This window comes from Homo sapiens, chromosome 12 (assembly GCF_000001405.40).
Source record: "Homo sapiens chromosome 12, GRCh38.p14 Primary Assembly".
NCBI lineage: Eukaryota > Metazoa > Chordata > Mammalia > Primates > Hominidae > Homo > Homo sapiens.
The window spans coordinates 11,697,152-11,723,503 of record NC_000012.12 but is presented as its reverse complement, the minus strand read 5'-3'; the positions used below and the strand labels follow the sequence as shown (position 1 = coordinate 11,723,503).

The window sequence follows — 26,352 nt, the reverse complement described above, 5'->3', positions numbered from 1 at the left end:
TCTTTTTCATTTAGAATGGATTAATTTTGTCACAATATGGCTTTTGAAGAGCAAGAAAGAATGGAAGGGAAAAAGGAATAACTGAAAGTGGAAGAAAGAAGGCAAGCAGGACATGGGAAAGGAGGGAGAGTGCGTTGTGGGTATTAAATGTGATAATCCTTGCAAAGTACTGAGTCAATCTCTGGCCTATAGTAAGTGCTCAAAAAATATCAGTCACTATATTCATTGTTACAGAGAGCCTATAACCGTGTCATACTAACCTACAATGCACACTTGCCATAGAGCAGGGAATGTTCTAAGGGCTTATCACATATTAATTCATTTAATACTCACAATCCTATGAGATATTAGGATTCCCATTTTACAAATGAGAAAACGAGGGTACAAAGAGATTCTGTAAACTATCAACTACCCAGTCACACAACTACCAAGTGAGAGATCTGAGATTCAAGCCCAGGTAGTCTGACTTCGGAGCTCAGCTTCTCATTGGTTTCACCTGTGGTTATTAAAGTGCGGTCCCTGGAACCGGGAACTTCTCAGATTTGCAAATTCTTTGTCCCACCCCAGTCCTACCAAATCAGAAACTCTGAGAGAACGGCCCAGCAACTGTTTCTAAAAGCCCCTGAGGTGATTCTGAGGAACACCAGAATTTGAGCACCTCTGCATTAATTACATTACAGTGCTTCTCCACGTAGTGGCTAAGTTAAGGCAGATAAGAAAACATCACTTCCTCCCCGGATCTGGCCTCACCTGGCAATGGGCAAAGGTCAAAATATTTGGGTTGTCCATTTCTCTCAGTTTAGGGCCTGGCCTACAACTGGGGTTTGGGAGAGTAACTTCAATTCTCTTCATTTTAGGAGAAATCAGTTTGGCTTTTCTGACTTTACTCTTTGACGTAGAAAGCCTAGGAGAGAACAACAGGCCTTGAATATTCTTAGAATAGTTTAACTCCTTCATAACGTCTGAACATCAGTTAGCAGATTTAATAGGCTGCAGTGCCCCAAAATGTCCACCATTAGATTAAAAATGAAACTTAAAAGAAAGCTTTGCTTCCAGTGTGTTAATTTAGCTTCCAACAATGCCTAGCAGGTGAATGTATCTCTACATTTTACTGGAGTTAACTCAATTATTCAAAGCGATTACAGTTTGTGGATTATCTGAGCCTCCTTCTTCTCCTCCCTGGAGCTGCTCACCTTTTGGCCATTTCACTGTTCATTAGCACCTCTACTGAAGATACCCAGGGGAGAATAAAAGGTGAGGAAACTCAAACCAGTCGACTTTTCTCCTTGTTAGCAGTTCTGATAAAGACTTGGTGGGAGAAGAATTATTATTGGCTAAAACAAGACACTGGGATTATCTATGGCTTCAATTTTCCATGCTCTCCCAGCCCCTAATTATCAGATACAGTCAAGTCAGCCTAACTTTATAGTGACAGCCCAGTCTACAAGTGAGCAGGGGCATAATATTCAAATTCTAGAATTTCCACAGAGGTAACCTATGATACCTTCTTCCTTAAATTACAGCTCTCAAAAATGCCAGGGTGATGGACAACTTTGATCACAGGTGAAAAGGCTCAAAAAGAGATCCCACAGCATTTTAACAGCTGACTTTTCCCACCATTCAAACTTTCTATGACCTAACAGAATATGTACATCTTAATATTTTACTCTCGTAAGAAAAATAAGGAAACTAATGTTCATTAGGCATCTATTATATGCCAGGGTGCCAGACCCTCTGCTGGATGTCTTATAAATATTACCTTGCTTAATTCTAGAACAATTTAGGAAATATTTTTTCTTTTCCAACTTTTACTTTAGACATAGGGTTTACGTGTGCAGGTTTGTTACATGGGTATCTTGCATCCAGGTAGTGAGCACAGTACCCAAGAGGTAGTTTCTGACTCATTAACCCCCTCCCGCTCCTCCCTCTAGTAGTCCACAGTGTTTATTGTTCCCATGTTTATGTTCATGAGTGCTCGATGTATAGCTCCTACTTATAAGTGAGAACATGCAGCATTTGGTTTTCTGTTCCTGCATTCATTCACTTAGAATTATGGTTTCCAGCTCTTCCAACATGGTTACCCATGTTGCTATAAAGGACATGATTTCATTCCTTTTTATGGCTGCAAAGTATTCCATGGTGTATATGTACCACATTAAAACAAAATCAAATCCACTGTTGATGTGCACCTAGGTTGATTCCATGTCTTTGATACTGTGAATAGCGTGGCAGTAAACATACAAGTGTATATGTCTTTTTGGTATAATGATCTAGTTTCCTTTGGATATACACCCAGTAATGAGATTTATGGGCTGAATGGTAGCTCTGTTTTAAGTTGAGAAATCTCCAAACTGCTTTCTACAATGACTGAACTAAGTTACATTTCCCCCACCGGTGTATAAGCATTCCCTTTTCTCCATAGCCTCACCAGCATCTGTTATTTTTTGACTTTTGATAATAGCATTCTGACTGGTGTGAGACAGTATCTCGTCGTGGCTTTGATTTGCATTTCTCTGATGATTAGTGATAATAAGCATTTTTTCTTGTTTGTTGGCTGCTTGTATGTCTTCTTTTAAGAGGTGTCTGTTCATGCCCTTTGCCCATTTTTTAATGGAGTTATTGTTTTTTTGCCTCTTGATTTAAGTTCCTTATAGATTCTGGATATTAGACCTTTGTTGGATGCACAGTTTGCAAATATTTTCTCCCATTCGGTAGGTTGCTGTTTACTCTGTTGATTCTTTTGCCGTGCAGAAGCTCTTTAGTTTAATTAGTTCCCACTTGTCAATTTTTTGTTTTTGTTGCAATTGCTTTTGGGGACTTAGCCAAAAATCCTTTGCCAAGGCTAGTGTCAAGAGGGGTTTTTCCTGTGTTTTCTTCTAGGATTTTTACAGTTTGAGGTCTTAGATTTCGATTTAATCCATCTTGAGTTAATTTTTGTATATGGTGAAAGGTAAGGGTTCAGTTTCATTCTTCTGCATATGGCTAGCCAGCTATCCCAGCACCATTTATGAATAAGGAGTCCTTTACCCCATTGCTTGTTTTTGTTGGCCTTGAGCAAGAAATTTTTATCCTGATTTTACAGACAGGGAAACTGAGGCTCAGGGAATTTAAATCTGAGTTCATAAGTGTCAGAACTAAGAGCTGAACACAGAGTTGCCTTTGCCTCTCCCTAAAAACTGTGCTGTTTAACCATACAACTCAGTCTCAATGGTTTCTTACTTATATCCAGAAGTGTCTTTGACAACACTCTCAAGGCTTATTAGGGAGATGACTGTGCTGATGGCTCTTCGTGACTCTTAAAGATTAATGCTGTGCCTGAACATGCTAACACCATCCTCAGAAGCCCCTTTTCCTATCTTCAGATATCAACTCTTTCCCCTTCTATAATCACTGATACCAATAACCCACAGCTTCTCGTCCTTTGCCAAATCTGTATGAACTGCCACCAGTCCTGTTTATAGCTTCTGATTCGTGGGAGACCAGGCATTTCCTGCATGGTGGGAGCCTGAGGCCACGGTGGGAGAGGGGGCGGTAAAAGATGCCTTTCCTTCCCGGATGACTCAGAGCCAATGACTGTGCCGGAGCCCAGACAGCAGAAGCCTGTGCCCTTGGCGTCACCACAGGACCGCTTCCTATCTCAGTGAGGGAAGTGGCTGAAAGAGCCAGTGTGAGGGAAGAGGAAGGAAGGAGGCAGAGGGTCTGTTACCAGTCCTCATCCCTGCCTTCCATTCCCGCTTCTCTCTTGTCCCTTGCCCCAGACCCACCCCCGTGCTGGATTTTAATGCACAGACTTGCCTTTCTCAGATTCAAGCCTGACTCTGCCCTAGCACCCCCAAAAGACGCCACAGCCCATCAAGTTCCTCCCTGTGAGAGACATCGAGGCCTCTTGGTGTTGGCCAGAGATAAATGCATCTTTATTCAGAGCCCTGTAAAATTACAAACTGGTTTGCTTTATTACTTGTCAGCTGGTCCTTCCTTGCCATCCCTGGTGAGTGAAAGACAGGCTAGCATGACTGCATCTCAGTGCAGGAAAATGCTACAAGAGCTTGTCCTTCAGGGAAGAAAATCTCCTGATGTCTATACAGAGCACTTACTGTCTCTATCACATGACAGACCTAAAAGATCAGGATCTTTCGTGGGTCTATGTTTGTCGGTATTTTTAATATGCATGAGATTGCCCAAAGGGACTGTGAGATAACTTGGGGCAAGGACCACATTTCCTTCACCAAAGAGTATCAACATGATGCTAGATTTCCAGGCAGTGCCTCCTGACTTGAGATGCAGGCCTCCTGCGTGGAGCAAATGGATTCCAGACTCCAGTATACGGCTCCCCGTGGTGCAGGCTTCAGTTTCCCTCTCCCCAGCGGCCTCACTAACAGGGTGGCAGCTTAGCCAGTCCCTGGGCAGCTTCAACAGCTTTGATTAAATCTGGTCTGCTTCCAGTCCTGGAGATGCCAGAGAAATCACACTGATTACCCTAACAGACTGGATGAAACACTAAACACATACATTCTGCACAGCCTCAACAACTTCAGGAGAGAGAGAACCCAGACTCTGGGCAATGCCTGTCTGAATGACTCTTTCTGAATCACAGATCAGGGATCTGCCATCAGCCCTCACAGTGATTGTTCTGCAAGTCTGGCAGCCCTAAACTGATTCCTGCTTATTCTAAAATACAGTATTGAGCACTGGGCTGGCTTCGTGAGTGTGCGACCTGTGACCTGTGCAGTCATACAGAGGTCCTGTGCTTGTCTGAGAATTTTTTTGAGACACAGTCTCACTCTGTTGCCCAGGCTGCCTCCCAGGCTTAAAAGCAAGCCTCCCACCTCAGCCTCCCAAGTAGCTGGGACTACAGGCACACACCACCATGCCCAACTAATTTTTTTTTTTTTTTTTTTTTAGTAGCGATGGGGTTTCGTCATGTTGCCCAGGCTGGTCTCAAACTCCTGAGCTCAAGCGATCCGCCTGCCTCGTCCTCCCAAAGTGCTAGGATTTCAGGAGTGTGCCACCACACCTAGCCAACCTGGGTTTGTTTTAATGCTCTGCTGTGGCTATCTTGAAATTCTTCCTAATTTTTGAACAAGGAGCCCTACATCTACATTCTGCACCAAGTCCCAGTAGTTACCTAGCCAGTCCTGCCGAACACTAACTCCATTCAGTCACTTCAAGACATCTTGTAAGTCTGGGAAGCTGTGCCAAAAGAAATGGGGTGTGGTCAGGCAAGGGGTGAGGCTTTGGGCTGAGGTGTGGGGGCTGCTCAGCACAGGGGAGCCCAGGGTTCCTGGAACGGGGCAAGACACCAGCATGGACCAAGGAAACAGGAAGGGCCTCTCAATGCACACAAAAAATATTGCCCACTTTGGACCACTAGTTTTTGGAAGTTTCGGAAACTTCCCAAATCTATTTCAAGTTTTTTATTATGGGCCTTATTTCTATCTCTCTGATTTATATAAAACCTGACTTTCCCCCCATGTTTCGAAGAAGGTTGTTTTAAAAGGTGGCATTCTGTTTGTTCTTTTCAGCTCAAAAGAAATTTGCATGAGGTAAGGGGCTGTTGAGATTGAGAACTCCACTTCCAGGCTGTTAATTCTGTTCAAAGTCCAGGCCCACTCAGCTAGAGAACGGGTTGTTGCAGCGAGTAGTTGGAGGTCAGATACCACTGATCAGGCTGAGTGGGAGGGAATATCAGGGGACACTCACAGTGTAGAGTGTCTCTGGGTACAAAGTTCTCGATGATCATCAACAACAATAAACTATAGGAAAAATGTCCCACGGTGTATTTTGTAAGAAATTGCCTTGGGAAAGCATTCTCATGCGTTTTCAAAATGAGTCAGATGACAAAGACATTGCTTCTTTGAATGCTTCAGTAACTGTCTTGTGATCACTTGCAGGCGCATGAGGTCGAGCCTTTTATTAATGTTCTCAGACATGACAGCTAGAGATGGACGGATGTTCCTTATGCACACACATGTATACATGCCCCATAGCGTTACTGTATTACACTATAGGGAAAAGCAGTTGCCAAAAAGATATTTATTTAGGATAAATGAATATTCCATAGCACCCCTGCTTGTTACTACACTCTGTCTGAATCCCTGTGCACAGCCTGTCCTCCAGAACCATGAAATCAGCAGGAAGCAGATATGTTTTATGGGCTATGTGTCACTTAGCGCCGCCTGCGCATCCTAATAGGTGATGAAATAAGGGAGCTGCAGCAATTGCTATTGAAGCTGAAAATGTGGCCCCCTTGGCTCCAGGTTTGTCTGCTCTCAGGAAGGCATAGCTGGTTGCCTGCTCTTTGCAAAAGGAAGAAAATGGAACTGAGCAGACACTGCTGTATTTGGAGTGGCAGAGCAACATTAACATATACGATGCAGGAAGGAATACAACGTGGGCAAAATAAAGCTTTCCCTGAGGCTCAGGGGAAGCATCTATCTGTGTGCACTGAAGGCCTAAAGCACCTCAGCATCGCCTGCCTGCTGAAATACGGGCTTGGATGAGAGCTTGCTGCCTACCATGCTGTGCTTTGACCCTTGGAATCAAAATCTACCTAATGATTTTAGATCTAAGAGATAAGGAGTCTTTGCCTGCTTAGAAGACTGGGAGAAGTGGCTGAGCAGTTTACAGACTGTGTACAACTGTTTGAAGGCCACAGAGGTGCTCTTGGAACTGGGCAGCATGAACATGGAGTTGAACCACTCAGATCTGGGATACAATAAGCTCAACCTACTACAGCAGCTCAGATGACTATTTCACTTACCATGTGAAAGAAAAATCACATAATTTTAGAGCTGGAAAGGAAAAGAGTGATGCTCTTGTTTGAGTCCCTTATTTCAGAGATAGAGAAATGCAGATGTCTAAGGCAGTCCAGCTGCAGCTCTGAATAATGAGTCTTCCAAAGCATCCTTGGAGCATTGCTAGAAGAGAGGGCAGAAGAAAGGAACTAATCCTGCTCTGCCCACATCCACCAACTTCAGCCAAAAGTGAACCACCTTCCACCAAATACTAACACAAATGCCAGTGCAGAAACAGAAGCAGGATGATGGACCCCAGCGGTTCAGGTCAACTCGCTTGGGTGGCATAAATCACTCCCAATTCACCAGATCACAGCCCTGATCTTCACATATTCGGTTCCGAATGATCTTTTTTTTTTTTTTTTTTTTTTTTTTTTTTGAGAAGGAGTCTTGCTCTGTCGCCCAGGCTGGAGTGCAGTGGCATGATCTCCGCTCACTGCAAGCTCAGCCTCCCAGATTCACGCTATTCTCCTGCCTCAGCCTCCCGAGTAGCTGGGACTACAGGCGCCCACCACCATGCCCGGCTAATTTTCATGTTAGCCAGGATGGTCTTGATCTCCCGACCTCGTGATCCACCCGCCTCGGCCTCCCAAAGTGTTGGGATTACAGGCGTCAGCCACCGCGCCCGGCCCCAAATGGTCTTAAACACAAGGGTAATAAGCAAGATGTTGCTTTCTTCAACTTTTCAGTATCAGATCCAGAGTGTTCCGCAAATTCCTTTTTACCCAGATTGCAGGCTTAACACCATCAGGTCAAAGACGCTGTTCTTCTCTTGGCTCTTCTATTTATGTGAAAAAAGAATTGCTAAATACTTGTTGATTATTATAAGAAACCTACAGAAACCTGATGCAAATTCTCTGATTTGAGTCAGTTTTCCTTTATCCTCTCAATTTAGCTATTTTAAGGAACTCAAAGCCCTTACTTCCAAAGGTCACATTGTGAAATTGTGACCAAAATAACAGAGAGAAATCGGCTGTCATAAATCCTCAATTTATGATTATCAAAGAAAACAAAACTGCATCCAAAAACAAGGAAAACAATGTGTGACCTCTATAAGTTCGACTCTTCCTCAGCAGCATCAGGGAGTACTGATTAGGAAAGCAGCAGGGCAGAGGAGTAGATGGCACAGCGTAGCTGGGACACACCTGGGTTTGGATCCCAGCTGTACCACTTACTAGCTGCAAAACCTTGGGTGAGTTACCTCCTTGAGTTTTGGGTTTTCTCATCCCTAAAATAAACATAGCATCCCTGTTTCATACAATGGTTGTGAGGATTGAAGGTGATAATGAGTATTTAAACCACCTGGCACTCACTATGTATCTAGTAATGGTGACCTCAAGTTGCATTCCTGGTTCTGATAATCATTTCATACCTTGGCCTCCTTCTCTTCATCTTCAAAATAAAGCAGTCAAAATAAATAATCACTAGGGTCCATCTCCACTCAAGGCTCTAAGAAAAGACGAATGCTCAACTCTCCACTAATCCAGTCTATCTAAAGGCCAGTGAAAAGAGAAATAGCCTATATTTCCGTAATATCGTGGTTTTCAGTGTATATGCTCATAGAACTATCGAATTTGATGTCACCCCAAGAATTCCTGCTCATTTCGGTTAAACAAAAAAGACATGGTCTTCCCCATTTGAAAAATCTCAAAACGATCTCCACATTTTACATCCTATTGCCCCTGCCACGGCTCTGTCATGTAACGTGGGTATCATCTTTAATCATCTCCAAACTGGGTGTGATGGGCCCATGGTCTTCCTTCTCCAATCCACCTTCCACGACTGTCAGTCATCTCTTCAAAACACAGAACTGACCATACTCCAACCCTTTAACTGCCTTCTAACCGTCTTTGTGATTGCCAAAGCACACAAGCATGCCTCCCCACCTTGTGTTCCAGCCACTCACATACGCAACTCACATGCCCCTGCCCTCCTCACCAGGAGTCTACTCCCTCCCCTCAGTCTGAAACAGTCACTTACTGTAGACCTTCCACACCACCCTGTCTACATGTCTGTAAGTGTCTTCCATCACAGATCTTTTTTTTTTTTTTTTTTTTTTTCACCTCAAGGTATGATTACTTACCTAAAAGTCTGTCTCTATAGCTGGACTATAAGTTGTGCTTTTTCCGTCTTTGGTTCTCAGCCTCTTGAGGCTGCCTGTGTTAAGCCATGCATGTAGTAGGTAGTTCATAAAGTCATACTGAATTATTTACTTAATTGGTTTCAGCAGGCCCCTAATCAAATACATGCTAGAAGAGAAGAAGGCAGGCTGCGTAGTTAGGCAATTCATTATCACAATATCTTTGATTAGTCAGCTATCACTTTGGAAAGTGCAGAGAACTGGAGGCAAGCCCATGAGATGTTGGACATGAGGCTGGCTGAGTTTTGATTGGGAGCAAAGAGCAAGAGAGAGCCGTTATATCTGTGCCCAGAAAATGTGGGGAGGCCAAATCTGTTTTCTTTCTGTCTTCCCTTGCCTCTCTTTCTTTGTCCTCTTTCCATTATTACCTCCTCCTTCCTCTCATCTCCAACGTTAATTCATTTGATAAATATTTAGTGAGTGCTTATGATGTGCTAAGTACTGTTCTGACACTAAGGATACAGCAGCAAGCAAAATGACGCCCCTGCATTCTAGTGCAGTGCATCTCAAGCTTTAATGTCATATGCATCATCTGTGGGTCCTGCCAAAGAGAAGAATTGGACTCAGCTTTCAAATAAAGGTGATGCTGATGCCACCAGTCCACATCCTCTGGGAAGTAAGGTTCTAGACTAGAACACTGGTTCTCAAGCTTGGTTGCACATAGGAATCTCCTGGGAGTTTTACAAAATACTAATGCTGAGTCTCTTCCTTATAACATTACTGAATTTAATTGTTCTAGAACACAGGAGAGGATTTTTTTAAACTCCCAGGGTGATTCTAATGAACATCCAAGGTTAAGAACCACTGTCCTAGTGGGAGGATGTAGACAGAAATAAATATATATTCCAGATAAAGACTATGAAGAAAAACAAAGCAAGGCAAGTGCAACAGAACGTGAGAGCAGATATTATATCATTTTATTTATTTTCTATAAGGTGCTCAGGGAAAGCCCCCCTGAGTGGAAGACATTTGAACAGACACCTCAAAGAAGTTTAGGAAAAAGACATGCAGTCATCTGAGCTCCATGTAGAGGAAACAGCACACGCAAAGGCCCTGAGGGAGAAGTGCGCTTGATATGTTTGAGAAATAACAAGAGACTAGTAACAAAAGAGGAAAGCAAAAGAACATTTGCTATGAGACTTCATGGAAACAATGGTTTACAATCATAGTAAAACAAGTAATCTAATCTTAACGGAAAGTCTAGACACACAAAGGCTGAAGGAGAGTTCAATTTGAGTAATGATTTAAATCTAAAAAGGTGATTACCAAACATTTGAAAGCAAAGGCAATGCACACGTATGTGTTAGGGCAGAAGAACTGTATCAGATAAATATCATTATCCTCATTTTAGAGGATAAATATAATTATCCTCATACAGAAACTGATCAGAGGCTCACTGAGGCATGTTCACTTGCCCATGATCACATAAGAGCTAGACCACCTCTATCCTGACTGGCATCAGGATCTGTTCTCTTTCCAGTTTAAATTCATCACCCACCTGGTCATTCTCCCTTCTTCTCACTTCACGTGTGGCTCCCATCTCAGGTAGCAGGTGGGAGGTGAAGGGCAGGTGTCAGAGGTAGGAGGAAAAGGGTAACAGTGAGGAGAGAGAAGGAAAGTAAACGAGGCAGAAACAGAAAAGGCTCAAGCATGAAGAACAGTGGCCTCCTCCGTGCACGCCTGCAGCTCCTGACCATTCACACCTGATGCTCACAAACTCCTGCGAGGGGGATGGTTGATTTCAGGTGTCAACTTGACTAGGACGTGGCACCGATATTTGCCTGAACACCGTGAAGATACCGTTTAGATGAGATGGACATTTAAGTCAGTAGACTCTGAGTGAAGCAGATTGCCCTCCATAATATGGGTGGGCCTCAACCAATCAGTTGAAGGCCTTAAGAGAAAAAAACTTGGGTCTCCCAAGGAAGAGGAAGTTCAGCCTCCTGACTGCAACATCAACTCTTCCCAGGGTCTCCAGCCTGCCATCCCTACATACACACCTATCTATCTATTGACATCAACAGCGATGTGGATCTCCTATTGGTTCTGTTTCTCTGGAGAACCCTGATTAACACAGATGAGCACGACCTGTAATACCATCCCCATCTACGACGAGATGATGGGTCTCTGAGAGGTTTTCCAAAGTCACACGTCTAAGAAGGGACTGGACTGAGACTGGCACCTAGGTCCTTTCTTCCACACAGGACCTCTGTTAGAACTGTCATTTCATCTTAAGTCTCAGACCAGATTAAAATACTAAAAATCTGACCACACATGAAATGTTTGTAATTGCAATTTTATCCCTTAAAACGGATTAGATGGATGAAATAGGGACTACAGCAAAGGCAAATGAAAGGAATGTACTTCACTTTGTCTACACTGGATGAGATGACTGTCTTTTTGATCTCTGAGATTGCTAAAAAGTAAGATGGGGGGGTGAAGGGAGCATGTTTACGAGGGTTCAAACGTCCACCTGAGGATTAAACAGAACGCTTTGTTTTCACGAGGCTTCCTTGTTAGGCTAGAAAATAATGATGGGAAACTAACACAATCGCAGATGCCAGGCTAGAATTTTAGGACTAAAAAACACAGAAAAAAGGCTGGAGTTTGCTGGAGCCTTGACAAAACAGGAGACAGAAAGTGGAAAAAAATAGAGAAAAGTGATTCAGTGATGCAATTCCACCCACGGGGGGAAGGTTGGGAAATACCATACAATTCTTCCTCCAAAATGTTGATCAAAATACTTTCTGGTTCAGAAATAATGATGTTGAAGAAAGCAAGGAAATGACGTACAAATCATGACTTCAGACGAATATTCCTCTATACCTTATTCATTTTACAGTCATTAAGAGTATGTCCCTAACAGGACCCAGGGGCCATTGCTCCCTTGTTTAACTGACATCTGAAAATGCTTTAAGGATAAATGTTTGGAAAACAGAAGCGCAGCATAGATCTCCCGCAGAAAACAATGGCACACAATGTTCTCTTTTCTTCAAAAAAGGAATTTCAGGATTAGAAACAGTATCTCTATATACTGGTATCTATGTGAGAGTGCAGGAGAGAAGGAACCACGATGTATGAAGAAAAAGGAAGGAAAATGTTCCAAAAAGAAAGTTTCCACACTTAAATGGGATCACTTCTGTTCCCTCCACAAATGAAATATAGAAAACTAACCTCACAGGCAAAGAAACTCCTAGAACTCTTGCTGTGTGATGGTCTTCTCGATGTACTGCCATTACTAAACAACTGAGTGAGACTCCATCTCAACAGGCAGGGAAAGAGTTAAAGACACTGAAGAAACAAAAATAACGGGTTGAGTTTGTGCTGAAAACCTGGAGAAATATGGCTGGGAAAAGAAAACGAGAAAGGAGAGGCAAAACTTAATGCCAGACTCAATTCTCTGGGGACACCCAGAGCTCCCAAAGAATAGGCAAAGACCTTCCATGCTATTTGCCCAACTCAATCGATTAGTGGTGGTCAAACTAAAGAGTGCTGTGATTATTTAACATTTGCTGTGGTCCTGTGAGGGAGAGGAAGTGCCAAATATTTACCAAGTCTAGCTGAGGCCTCTGACCCTCCAAGCTAAGGCTTCCTCACCTGATGCCTGGTCTCCACTTAGTCTCAATGGGCTATCCTGCAGCCTCCAGGATCTGCTTAAACACAAAGTAGGGGGCAGCTTTCTTGACATGACCAGAGAGCAGACTCATGACCCTACACTAACCATCATGTCCTAGAGGTACCCTACAGGATTTCTTCTTAGGGCTCAGGAACTGTGGCCACCAGAAGGCTTCTGTCAAAGAACCAGAGCTTTCTAGGAAAAGCAATACTTTCCTATCAACGACCCTCATTAGCCTGCATCAGCTCCAAAAATGCCCTAGCTATCAACTAGCAGAGCGCAGGGCCCCAAGGCAATAGGCGCACTATAATACTAGCATTGTGATACTAACAGTAGTGTATATTTGTAGAGCAATTTCCAGTTCATAATGTGTTTCAGAAGCGTCAGAAGCAAGCGCTCTAAAGTCGGACTACCAGGACTCAAATCCCATTTCTATGACTTTCTTGCCATTTTCTCACTGCAAAATGAACAAGATGATAGTAGTTACCACCTGGGATTGTTGTGAAAATACCATGGAATAAACAGGCAAAGCACTTAAATCAGTATCTAGTACATGGTGACACATAATAAATACAGACTGACATCTGAGGAGACAGGAGGTCAGAGAAACTAAATGCCTTTCCTTGTAACAGGCAGAACCAGGGCTCCACAGAGAAGGTACGGGAAACCATAGACATGAGTGTGCATGTATGCTGGGGAGGGAATAACGGTCTCTGAATGACCAGAGAAAGCCACGGAGCTTTGGGAGGGGACAGAATACTAAAAGGGAGAAAAGAGTTCTCCAAAAAAAGCTGGCCTTGCTTTTACAGAAAATCAAGGTTTCTCTTCCATGGTGTAGGCCAGAATCATCCAAATGCCTTTCTGATATGCGCCTAATATACTGCTGACCTCCCGATGTGAGAATACTCTGCAAATTAATTCTGCAGTGCTACCTACGTGGCATACAGAGAGGTGTGATATGCTGTATTAGTCAGGGTTCTCCAGAGAAAGTGAACCAATAGGGTGGTGTGTGTATATATAAATGCATACACACACACAGATATTTATTTTAAGGAACTGGCTTATGTGCTTATAGAGGCAGACAAGCCCAAAATCTGCAAGATGTGCCAGCAGGCTGGAGACCCAGAGAAGAGCCGGTGGTGCAGTGTAAGTCTGAAGGCCATCTGCTGTGGCATTCCCTCTTCGGTTCTATTCAGGCCTTCAACTGATTGGGTGAGGCCTACCCGCATTACGGAGGGCCATGTGCTTTACTCAAAGTCCACCAATTTAAATATTAGTCTCATCCATAAATACCTTCACAGAAACATCCAGAAGAATATCTGATCATACATATGAGCACTGTGGCCCATCTAAGTTGACACATAAAATTAAGCATCACTTGTGCCCTAGGTGTTCTGCATTCAGAGATCCTATATCACAATTACTAGATTTCCAAAGAAAACATGAGATCTAGCCAGGTGCAGTGGTACAGGCCTATATTCTCAGCTATTGGGAGGTTAAGGTGGGAGGATCATTTGAGCTCAGGAGTTCCAGACCAGCCTGCACAACATAGCGAGACCTCATCTCGAAAAGAAAGAAAAGAAGAAGAGAGGAGAGGAGAGGAGAGGAGGAGAGAAGAAAAGATCAAACGCTTTCAAAAAAGAAAAAAAGGAACGGAATAAAATCTGTAAAATTTAAGACAGTGGCTAACTGGGATAAGAGGGCAGGGGTAGAATGAGGAAGAAGGTAGAGGTATATAGGTAGGGTATCAATATCAGTCATTTTGGTTCTTATGTTGGGTGGTGAGTTCATAGGTGTTCACTGTATCATCATGCTTTGTAACTCACATAGCTTCTTGGTTATATATCAAATATTACATATAGAATACAATGGGGGGTGGGGAACGAATCAAGCTTTCAGGCCACACGTGTGCATCACCTCAATGCAGCCTCCCCTGACCACTCCTGAACAGACATTTCTCTTTCTCTGATCAACTGTCTCTCCATTCATGAGCTGATATTGCTAGGTAACTTTTCATGTGCTTAGACCTTGCCTTTTCGAATGGATTTTAAGTCCCTCAAAATTCTGGGACAGTTTCTTACACATCTTTCTACTCTCCCACAGGGTCTGAGTGAGTGTCTGAGTAACTCAATAAATTCTCATTGATGGCTGAAAAGCAAGATGAGTCGGGGTAGGAATAACAAAAATAAACCAGCAGAAAAGCAGGGTTGGTTGAGTGGCACTGGGTGTCAGCTTTCTGGAAGTCACTAACAGCTCCAAAAGTTGACTTGAGAGGTCAGAAGCGAGGCAGGGTACATATACGATTCCTGAATGTGCCTAGAATGAAACAATGTCCATCCCCCATGATACTGGCCTACAAGTGGTACCTGTGATAACACAGCAAGGCTTGTAGAAGGGAATGTACACAAGACAGGGGGGAGTCTGGGCCGTCTGTGATGTCCAGACTGCAAGAAACCAGTGGAAAAGTCCCTCCCAGGGAGGTGGCACCTCAGCTCCAAGTTTCCTTAAGAAAACGCAGTTACAGCACCATTATACTTCTTGCTAAGTCCCCAAATTTCCAGTCTTTCAGCAGCTTCCCACCCAGTCTGTTCAATACCTTAGAAGACAACAGCACTCCCTTGCAGAGCACAAGTGAGGACTGCTTTATCTGTTCTCAAATTCCAAGTCTACATTCTTGTTCTTTTTTTTTTTTTTTTCACTGAGACTCCCCAACCCTAAACTTGAGATGCTCCCATCTGTCCCATGAACCCCAGCTCTGTCTGGCTTATTCCAATTTAGGTTAAAGAGATCAAGGCTGGATGTGGTAGTGAGAACTCTCTCCTGTTGGAAACAAAGGTTACCCTGAAGGAAATGTACAGCTTTCGACGTATGCTCACCACAGAGGGAAGCATAACAGAACATTCAAAATTATAACAGAATAACTTAAAATCAGGCTGAGAAAATCACAAATACAACTGCTAAGGGAAGAAAAGATAGACTTCAAACGGCTTATAAATTGATCCTGCTAAAAGGTCACTTTACTGCCATAAGATAGGAGGAGACAAAGTTGAGATTAAAATTATCATAACCATGTTCTAGTTCAGTTTCTCAGTTAACAGGTAAATATGGCCCTGTGAGGTGACATGCCAGGTCACTGGACGGAGAAGAACCAGAGCCAGGGATCACCACTCCATGGCCAATGCCTGTGTGCCATGACGTTCTCCAGGACCGATCCCCTTGGCCACTTGCCACATACGACTCGGGGCCTGTGTACCTGGCACTGAATCAAAGAAAGGTCCCGATTAGAATCCATAAATCTACATGCAGGAGGTTAGAGGGGAGAAATTGAGAAGAAAATCATTCTTTCCATACACTAAAAGGAAAATCATCAGTGGCTAAAGCAATCTGAGAACACCCATGCTTCCGACATTTCTCACATTTAGAAAAAAACGCCCCATGATGACAGAATTCTCAACACCAGCCTGCTATTTGGAACTAAAGGAACAAGTGGGAGCATGAAAGGGATCGATGGAAACGCAGTGCACAACTAGGATTTTCAAACAATCTACATCCAGCTCAGGTAGAGAAGCGCTGCGATTCCCACAGGTGTGCTCCCATTCTAAGCCAGGAGACCACCTCTAGCAGGTGAGCCTGCCTGCCACAGCAAGCCTGCTCATGGGAAATGAGCCCGCTGCTCAGGATTCTTTATTATTTTTAAGACTTCCCATTTGAGAAGCAGGGAATGTGATTTTTTTTCCTCTCCAACACGTTTTTTTCACGTCTAGCCTCCTTTACACAGCTGCTCTTCTTCAAGACTCTGCAATTGAGCGCTCTTGTTTACTTTCTTCTGAGTTCCCTGAGGTTTGATTGTTGAGGCCTGTGCAAGTCAGTGATTAGCATTCTGACTTCAATTCCTTCTTCAGAGTCAGCCAAAGGAGTCCAAGAAGTTGGCCACAACCACCCCCTGGGAACAATAGACCCTTTCTACAAAATACAGGTTTGTCTTCCTTTTCAAATACACAGGAGTTGGTCCCCTGGCAGAGAGGTCTACCTGACAGTACAAACTGTTCGCTGTGAAGTAGAGGGCTTTCCAAACAAGCAGCATCAACCTGCAGGTCATATGTGCACCAGAGTAAAGATTTCACCTCGATTCCATTTACAGAACTCAAAAGGTAAATTGTACGCCCCATCTGAAAGAAAACAGATATGGCTAGGAATGCAATCGTCCTAGAAATACCTGGCTTGTAACAGTCGGGCCCTGCAAGGGCAGCTGGGGTGTATGATGCAAGCCAGTGCTCTCCCACCCTCTCCACTTGCCTCTTATCTGTCCTGCTCACAAAACAGTGCAGGTGGCCCTACTATCTCCTAGCACCTAAAACTGAAGTCATTAGAAAACTCAGTAACCTGCCAGGTAAGGAGGGCTGCCCCTCATGGAAGCTCGGAGCACACTGATTCACTATTTAACCTATGAAAAACAGACAGCAGCCTCTAAAAGCTGAAATTCACATCATGCTCTCTACTCTTTTTTATTTTTATGCAGGACTGTTTTACAAGAAACAATCTTGCAATGTGATAGTGCTGGGCTCTTCCAGCGAAGAGAAATGGAGTCTAGTCCCTGCTCTGCCCTTTACTAAACTGGGCAACTTAACCTCTGTGCATCTATTTCTCCATGTGTACAAGGACAGTAAGACTGCCATCCTGCTTTTCTCACACGGTTATTATCAGGATAAAATGAGATAGCAAAAGCAAATATTTTTAAAGCTGCACTGCAAATGAAAGGCGTTGTTATTTTCATTCCTTTAACCAACTGGGAAGCCAGGCCTGAGGACATCAAGAACTCAGATGCAAGGCTGATGCACCTCAACAGAAGGAACGTTCGCTTCCTATCATCCCCATCCTAAAGAAGTCCTGGCAGGGGACCTCTGAGCCACTAAGACCAAGGCCCTCCAAAGATTTGAAAACCATCAAAGTTCAGGGGGTGACCCCCCCAAAATGGAGCTCCTGCCGCTACAATAAGTCTCTCAAAAGGATTCTGGAAAAATCTAGATTCAAGGCTCCTGCTTTCATTTCTCTGTGCCTCCATGGATATTAAAAGCACTTAAACACAGGCAGCTGAACTGACTCCTGGCCTGCTTTCTCATGGTGGAGAGAGTACAGTGGTGGCCAGAGGGTTTGAGTGGGCAGACAGGGGCTTAGGGTTGTCTCAATTGCCTTCTCATCTTTCCCTTGGAATATTCTTTTCATTATGAGGGCACCCTGTGGTTCAAGTCAAATGCCCGAAAAATAATGTGCTGTTTTTATTATGTTTTCTTCTAGTATTTTGTTTTACCCTTTTGTTAATATGTTAATGTATTAAGTCAAGTGTCTAAGGTCTGGGATATTATATCCTTAAGTCAGACTACAGCAGGCTAGACCAGACTAAATCAAGTTATTATTATTTTTTGGCTACTCAGGCCGAGAAGAGTCGAACAGTCCAAAGCAGTTTGCTGCAAAATTGCTCCATTATCCCAATGCAGATAATCTAATCGAAAGCCGCTCGAAAATCATCTGAAGGCCAGGGCAGAGAATATAAATAAAGGAGTCAGATGCCTGAAACACACACACCCCTCCAGAGATTATTTATAAACCAGGAAACCTTGATTTTTTGAGAGCCTTTGGCTATTGTAGAAAAAATTAACAAACCTGACTCAGTGGCAAATCATCCTGAATTGTTTCCCGGAGCTAGCATGTTTGAGCACCGGCCCACTTCATCTCCTGTTTTTTAGATGACGTTATGTGTCTCCTGTTCTTAGCACACTATTACGTAATGCAACAACAGCAACAGAACCAAAAGGCCTTGTTAACTTTAGTCTTTGCGTTGTACATTAAGTCTCTAGACACGCTCATCCTGTGCACTTGCCATTTTGTGTCCTTTGACCCACATCTCCCCATTTCCACCGGCATTAACCACTGTTTCATTCTCTGTCTCTGTATTTGAGCTTTTAAAATAAATATTTCAGATAAAAGTGAGATCATACAATATGTTTCTTTCTGTATCTGGCTTATGTCACTTATCATAATGTCCTCTAGGTCTATCCATGTTGTGGCAAATGGCAAGATCTCCTTTTTTAAGGCTTAATAAAACTATATTCTATTAGGAATTTTTGTTAAATATGTAGATTTTAGTTGTTCTTGTCCCACACACACACACACACACACAAACCCCTGTGAGAATGGTTGCCTACCTCACTATAGCAACCCATTCTATTAGCTATATGTATCCCATAATATCATGTTGTAAATCTCAAATATAAACAATAAAATTTATTTTTTAAAAGAAAGGGCTTGGAGGCTGGGCATGGTGGCTCACACCTGTAATCCCAGCAAGGGAGAGGCCAAGGTGGGCGGAACACTTGAGGTTAGGAGTTTGAGACTAGCCTGGCCAACATGGTGAAATCCCATCTCTACTAAAAATACAAAAATTAGCCGGTTGTGGTGGCGTGCACCTGTAATCCCAGCTGCTCGGGAGGCTGGGACAGGAGAATCGCTTAAACCTGGGAGGCAGAGGTTGCAGTGAGCTGAGATCACGCCACTGTATTCCAGCCTGGGCAACAGAGTGAGACTCTGTCAAAAAAAGAAAAAAAGGCCTTGTAAACTCACTCCTCTTCCCCTTCTTCCGCTATCCCCTCCACTTCCTTCTTCTCCTTCTCTCTGGTATTTGCAGCACTCTTCTCCCCATGATCCACCTTCACTACTCACTGATTCATTCAGCCAGCATGTCTTGAGTACCTACCATGTGTCAACACTGGGCTTGATGGCAGAAACACAGTAAAGAACTAAAAAGACACAGTCCGTTTTCACGGTGCTTACCTTGGAACGGTGAGACAGACGAAATAATGAGTAAACAGACAAAATACATGCAAGTTGTAATAATTTCAACTAAAGACACAAGTCTAAAATAAAAACTAGAAGGATGACCTGAAAATTCATCGTCTCCACTAGATAACTTGTCTTTCCTCCTTTCTTCCTTTTTCTTCTATTTTCAAAATATTAGAAATATACATTTATTTTAGGTGTTGACTCTTACACTCCAAGGGTGGTCAATTACTGATCTCTTTATAAAGTTGGTCAGTCAATTACTTATCTCTTTCTAAAGTTGCCCTCAAATCTTAAAATTGAAAGGAATTACATAATTAAGATTATTTGGTTCAAACTCCCATCCAGGAAGCTCCCCGACTCAGTCCCCTCCATCCCCAAGAAGGAAACTCCACATCTGCTAATGGGTAGTTAGTTATAAGGGACTCTGGTGGGCTCTATTGATCATTCAGAATAGCCCCCACGACTTAACATGCATTTGCTTTCACTTAGTGCTCTTGGGAAATAAAAAATAACTGAGTAGTTAACTGCACAATGGAAACATGGCCGCTAGGTGAAAGCCCCATAAGGGCAGAGTATGTGTTATAAACTTCTTGGTATCATTTCATTGGCTTGCTCGTAAATATCCTTCTGTTTTTTTTTTTAATATTGAAGATGATAAAGTCTGTCCATTTTAATCCCCAAATTTCTCTAACCTTTCCTTTGAAAACCCATGTTCCAAATCTTAAATTATTTTTATCACACTTCTCTTCATCTTCTATATTTATACACATTGTTGTAAAGGAGTGACTAAAACGAAAAAATAAGGACTGACTAATGCAAAGGTTAACAAAAGATGATTTTCTTTGAAACTCATTATTTTTAGTATATTTCAGCACCTTTGCCTCAATCTGCTTTCAGTTGAATAATGACTCCTGAGTATTTTCTTTCAGTACCTGTAGCAAGTAGTATTTTCACTTTCCATATTTGTATGTTTGGGACCCTCCTATAAATGTCACTTGTTTGTTTTCTTCCAGAGGAGGTCTCACTCTGTCACCCAGGCTGGGGTGCAGTGGCACGATCTTGACTCACTGCAGCCTCAACCTCTCCGGACTCAGGTCATCCTCCCACCTCAGCCTTTCAGGTAGCCGGGACTACAGGCATGTGCCACCACGCCCAGCTAATTTTTGTATTTTTTGTATCAACAGGGTTTTGCCATGTTGCCCAGGCTGGTCTTAAACTCCTGGGCTCAAGCGATCTACCCGGCTCAGCCTCCAAAATTGTTGGGATTACAGGCATGACAAATGTAACCTTTTAAGGATCCTGAGTAAATTCATTTTTTCTTCTAATTTTCCAAAGTAATCGCTCACATTTTACAGTTCAGAATAGAAACTGCATATGAACAACGACTATGTCTTCCTGGTAAGCCCTTCATGAAGAGCCAAGGTTCTATGGACCACTAGGTAGGTTCTGATGACTCAAAGTATGTTTATACCCTTGCATGAAATTTTTGTTTGACTTCTTTTGTTACCAAGAGATTACAGGCAGTGGGGAAGGGCCATGGGGGTGGGGATGGGGGGGATACTTCTCCTGTAGCTTGGCTAACCTGTTTTAATTACAGTTAGACTCCAGCTATTGTATATTACATGCAATCACTTAGCCCATGAAGACTATGAAAAACTATCCTTCCAAGTGCCCAGTTGGGTAGAAAGCCTGAAGGTAGGAACCTGTCCAGCTATCTTGTACAAATCAATTCATTCTTGCCACTATGGGTATAATAAGATCGGAGAAATGTTCTAAAAACAGACCTCTAAACTGGAATTGAAATTATAAAAACTTCAGAAGACAAAAAGCAATAGGTGGGAGCAGTCCAACAAACTCTGCTGTCAACAGGCCCGATGCACCTGACCATGAGCAAATTCTTCTCTCTCACTGCCTTGCTTCAGGCCCTCACCATCTCTGGCCTAAAATGCTGCAACCACGCTCCCTTCCCATTTGCCCCACACAGTGGTCTCTCCCATTCCAATCCATTCACACCCCCCTGTCAACCCACAGATCGAACGGGGTCAGTCTAACTGCATGAGGCCTCCAAGTTACCTGTACCCCAATCCTTAGCATGGCATTCATATACGCCCTAATGTCATTCCCCACACTCTCTCCACTTTCTATAAACATCAGGCTGTCCTTGCGATTCTTCCAACAAACCTCGTGTTTCCACTTGCCTTAGCTCAGGCCATTCGTGGAACACCATCCTTTTCTTCTCTGCCTTGAACAGCTTCAAGGTCTGTTTGAAATATGACCTCTCCTTTGAACTCTTCTTACCTCTCCCTCACGGTCCTGAGCAGATCACGCAGGGCCCTCTGTTCCTCCTTTGGCACCTAGCACATGGTACCACAGTTAGCTGAGTACCCGGTTTTCTCTTCTACAAGACCGTGTACTCCCTGGTCACAGGCAGAGCCCCTGATACACAGTAGCTGCTCAGTTGCTAAGCGAACATTAATAGCCTCAGTTTTGCTACTCAGCTGCCTCAAAGAATACCACTCAGGAAGACAGGATGTGCCTTTGGAAGTTTCGCTTTGGGAAATGCCCAAGCACAGAGCTGGAAGAAAAATCTACCTCTGGCTACAGAGACTAAAAACACTTAAACTCTTGAGTCTTAAGACAATGGCTGCCAAAAAGGAATGAAATTCTGACACATGCTACAACATGGATAAACCTTTTAACATCATGCTAAGTGAAATAAGCCAGTCACAAAAGGTCAAATGAGATTCCACTTACGGAGAGACCTGGAGTAGTCATAATTCACAAACAGGAAGAAGACCCCTGATTACCAGGGGCTGGGGGAGGGGAGAAGGGCATGCCAGCGTTTGCTGGGGACAGAGTTTCAGCTGGGGACGATGTAAAAGTTCTGGAGAGCGCTGATGGTTGCACAACAATGTGAATGTACCTAATGCTACTGAATTGTATACTTAAAATGGTTAAAAGGGCAAATTTTATATTATGTATATATTACCACGATTTTTAAAGTGCAAAAGAAAAAAGAAATGGCAAAAAAAAGTAAAAAAAAAAAACATAGGGACATAAAGGACAGTGATACAGTGGCTTTGAATTTGTTTACCAACTCTCAGATTACTGGAATGAGAGGATCCTCCTCAAGGCCTTACAATGGAAGTTTTAGAACTAAAGCCTGGAAGCCCTGTCTTCCACAGTAGGAAACAAACAGATGAAATACAGTGGACCCTCGAACAGCATGTTTGAGCTGCGTGTGTCCACTTATATGTGAATTTTTTTCAGTAAATTTACACTGAGTGGCCTGCCTTTCCTCCCGCCTCCTCCGCATCTTCCACCTCTGCCACCCTGAGACAGCAAGACCAAGCCCTCTTCAGCCTACTCAACATGAAGATGATGAAGATGAAGACCTTTATGATGCTCCACTTCCACTTAATGAACGGTAAATATATTTTCTCCTATGATTTTCTTAATAGCATTTTCTTTTCTTTAGCTTACTGTACTATAAGAATATAGTATATAATACATATAACAAACAAAATATGTGTTAATTAACCATTTACGTTATCGGTAAAGCTTCTAGTCAGCAGTAGGCTATTAGTAGTTATGTTTTTGGGGACTCAGAAGTTATATACATAACTCAGAAACAGAAAGTAAGATATTGCATGTTCTCACTTATAAGCAGGAGCTAAAGAATGGGTATACAGGAACATACAGAGGGAAATAACATATATTGGAGACTCCAAAGATAGGAGGCAGGTTAAGGTTGAAAACCTACCTATTGGGTACAATGTTCACTACTAGGGTGAAGGCTATATTAAAAGCCCAGACTTCACCACTACACAATATATCCATGTAACAAAACTGCACTTGTACCCCCAAATTTATTTTTTAAAAAGTTATACACAGATATTTTTCCTGCGTGAGGGGTCAGCAACCTAACCCCCATGTAGCTCAAGAGTCAACTGTATATTCAAATACCTTTCACTCGATTCAGTCAATACACAGTGTGTACCTCCAATGTTCCAGGCCTCATGCAAGGCACTGAAAGGGGATCAAAGTTGATTAAAAATGGCCCAGGGCATCCTAGGGAGAATGACACAGATACACAAATAACTACAGCACTGGGCTGACTTGGACTAAGGTTTATAAAAAGAAATACAAACGCAGTAGGAGAAACAACAACAGTAAGTTCAAGACATTTTTCCAACAGGAGCTCAGGGAAGGCAAATTCATAACAGTTTAATGAAGGAAGTCCAATGCATGACCTTGGCCCATTTGCACCTTTGCATCCTCCCTAGTGAATGAGGAGGGGGAACGCAGTATACTCGAAGGTCCTCCAGCTGGGAGGACCTTCCTACATTTTACATAACACAGAGGGTGGCCACAACATTTTGGGATGTGGGGCTGGGTCTGACCCAGAAGAGCATTTTCCTATCCTCTTTACCTCCATCCTACAGCTGCTCCATTCTATCACCCATGAAAAAGCTCAATAATCAACAAACCTTCTCCGCACTTTATTTCTCCTCTGTATTTATATATATTTTCAAGTATCCTGCAGGATAGCTCTTTGGGTTTCCACAAATATAGAAGAAACACACACACCCCTGCATTTTTTTACTCTAAAATTTCAGTTTCTAATTAAATCTTGTACATCCCTCATCAAGATCCATCTACATATAGTTTTATAGGCTGGAAAAATAGACCTATGCTGCCTTTTCCAGATGATTCGTGTTTTATGGAATAATAAAATGGGTAATGCTTAATTAAAATGAACATTTTTAAATGAATTAAAATGAGCAAGCTGTATTCTACCAATTTTGAAGAGTTTGCATGTTTTAGCTCTTGGATGTGTATTCAGCAAAACTGTTATCAATACATGCAAACCCCACTAAATTCTGGTTTCCTTCCATTTATCCTAGATGTCTTCAGAAAAATGAGAAAGCCTGGCTCAAGCAGAAAAGAAAGAATGTTGTCCTTTCATTTTATTAAAGCACTTTGAAAGGGGCAACCTATTACAATTATCCCTTTGCAATATTGCAGGAACTTAAGTATTTAACAAAAGATAGGAAGAATCCTGAACATGGCAGCATCGTGCTCTAATGGAGAGATCTTCAGAGTGCGATGATAGTGGGTTCTGGAATCTGCCTGTGTTCAAATCTGGGCTGTGCACTTTCTGTCTGTGAACTTTAGGCAGGTTACATAACCTCTCTAATCCCCAACTTCCCTACCTGTTAAATAGTTTAGTAGTAGTAATACCTAACTCAGAGGGTTGTGCTAAGAACTAAACAAGAATGTACTGACATGAAGCTCTTAGCACAGTGCCTGGCACAATTAATAAATTGTTATTCATCAATTTATATTGTTCAATGCAACCACCAGCTCAATCTCAGGCATTTCATTCAGCCTTTTTGGATCTATCTTGGTTCTCCCTACTTCTATCTTACAAAGGTATTAGGGGAAAAATTGAGGTCACACCTATAAAGAAATATGAGCTACAGGAAAACATTAAACTCCCTTGCTAGTTGTTGAAGGAGCAGGCTGCCATGTTGTGGGTGTCTAGGTTGGGAGGCCCACATAGTATGGAACAGAGGGAAGCCTCCAACCAACAGCTAGTAAGAAACTAAAATCCTCTGTCCTACAACCACAAGGTACTAAATTCTGCTAACAAAGTGGGTTCTTCCTCAGTCAAGCCTCAGATCAGAACACAGCCCTGGCTAACACATTAATTACAGCCTTCTGAGACCCTTTGCAGATGACCCAGGTAAACTGTGTCCAGATTCTTGACCCAAAGAAACTGAGATAAGAAATGAATGTTGTTTTAAACCACTAAATTTGTGGCAGTTTGTTATGCAGCAATAGAAAACTAATACTAATGCAGATGTTAGGAATGCAAGCAGACCCACATGGTACAAAATACACACGTATTTCTATGATTTAATACCATGCTGTAGTGATTCAGCCTTCCTGGAACCTGTGGCAGGGAAGGACAGGAAACTAAGGACAGATACTTAGAAGAGTCAGTGGTAAAAACATATTCTCCATAGTAATGGGGTATGGAAAAAGAGTAATAGTTTTCTATGGTATTTCATCAAACAAGGAACAACCAGAGGTTTTTTTAAATTTTTTTTGTTTTCAATTTATTTTCAAATTAGGCAAGTCAGCCTTTTCTGGATGCCAAATAGAACAAGAGATTTCGTCAAGTCCAAATCCTCTTGCCAAATTGCATTACCTTATGGGCATGATTGGAAATCTCTCGGGGCTTAGTTATGGGAAGGATTCACAAGTCAGATGCCCAGATTAGACAGCCCACATGCAACTTAGTTCACATTAAATACACTCATCCAAACCAGGAGATAGGAAACTTTTGTGAAGATGTGGATTCTGCCTTCATTTTTTAATTAATTACTCCTCTCACAAATGGATATGCTACACTACTCAGACACTTTTCCATTGCTCTTACAGTAACATCCCCTGCCCTTTTATCAGTATCCCCACTTAAACTTACACCCCTAAATTCTTAATCAGTCTGAGGCCTTCTTAAGCATTTTTCACAGAATTAGGAAACTTAAAAAGTAAGACAGGTCCTTGGAGATAATCTTGGTCATATTCTCTAATTTTACCAGAGAAATTGCAAGGCCCACAGAAGTCAAATGAGTGACTCAAGCTTAAAAGCAGAATCCTTTTACAACCTTTAAGCCGTTTCTTGAGAACGGAGATGAGGAGTATGTTTCTCCCTTAACCTTCCCTTTCAACTTTTCCTGCACCTGTCTGTTCAGATGCCTGCAGCCTCTGCTAAGTACCTCCTCTGACTGGGAAGCATTTCTGTGAAGTTACAACCACGAATGGAGGAGTTCTCGGGTGGCTCCTGTGTAGCTTACAGGCTATGGTGACATTCAGGACCCATCAAGTTTCTGCCATTGCTGTCAGTCCCCAAGAAATTTCAGCCAAGTCATGGCAACAAAATAAATGATCGACTC

General features: G+C 42.6%; 1 protein-coding gene and 1 long non-coding RNA gene across 10 annotated transcripts in view, besides 2 other annotated features; both read right to left on the bottom strand.

Annotated features, from left to right (window-relative positions):
* Positions 1-26,352, bottom strand: part of ETV6 (ETS variant transcription factor 6) — a 245,704-nt gene that overhangs the window by 171,874 nt on the left and 47,478 nt on the right. The window lies entirely within an intron of this gene.
* LOC124902879 (uncharacterized) lies at positions 1,071-11,564 on the bottom strand. Its single transcript, XR_007063212.1, has 2 exons — positions 5,126-11,564; positions 1,071-4,445 (listed from the first exon to the last, which is right to left on the bottom strand). It is a non-coding gene; the product is annotated as an uncharacterized LOC124902879 (long non-coding RNA).
* Positions 3,145-3,294: an enhancer, noted in NCBI's record as "active region_5973". NCBI's record gives its function as "activates an Ori minimal core promoter by ATAC-STARR-seq in GM12878 lymphoblastoid cells {active_cell/tissue: GM12878}" and the evidence as "EXISTENCE:reporter gene assay evidence [ECO:0000049][PMID:35858748]".
* Positions 3,385-3,444: an enhancer, noted in NCBI's record as "active region_5972". NCBI's record gives its function as "activates an Ori minimal core promoter by ATAC-STARR-seq in GM12878 lymphoblastoid cells {active_cell/tissue: GM12878}" and the evidence as "EXISTENCE:reporter gene assay evidence [ECO:0000049][PMID:35858748]".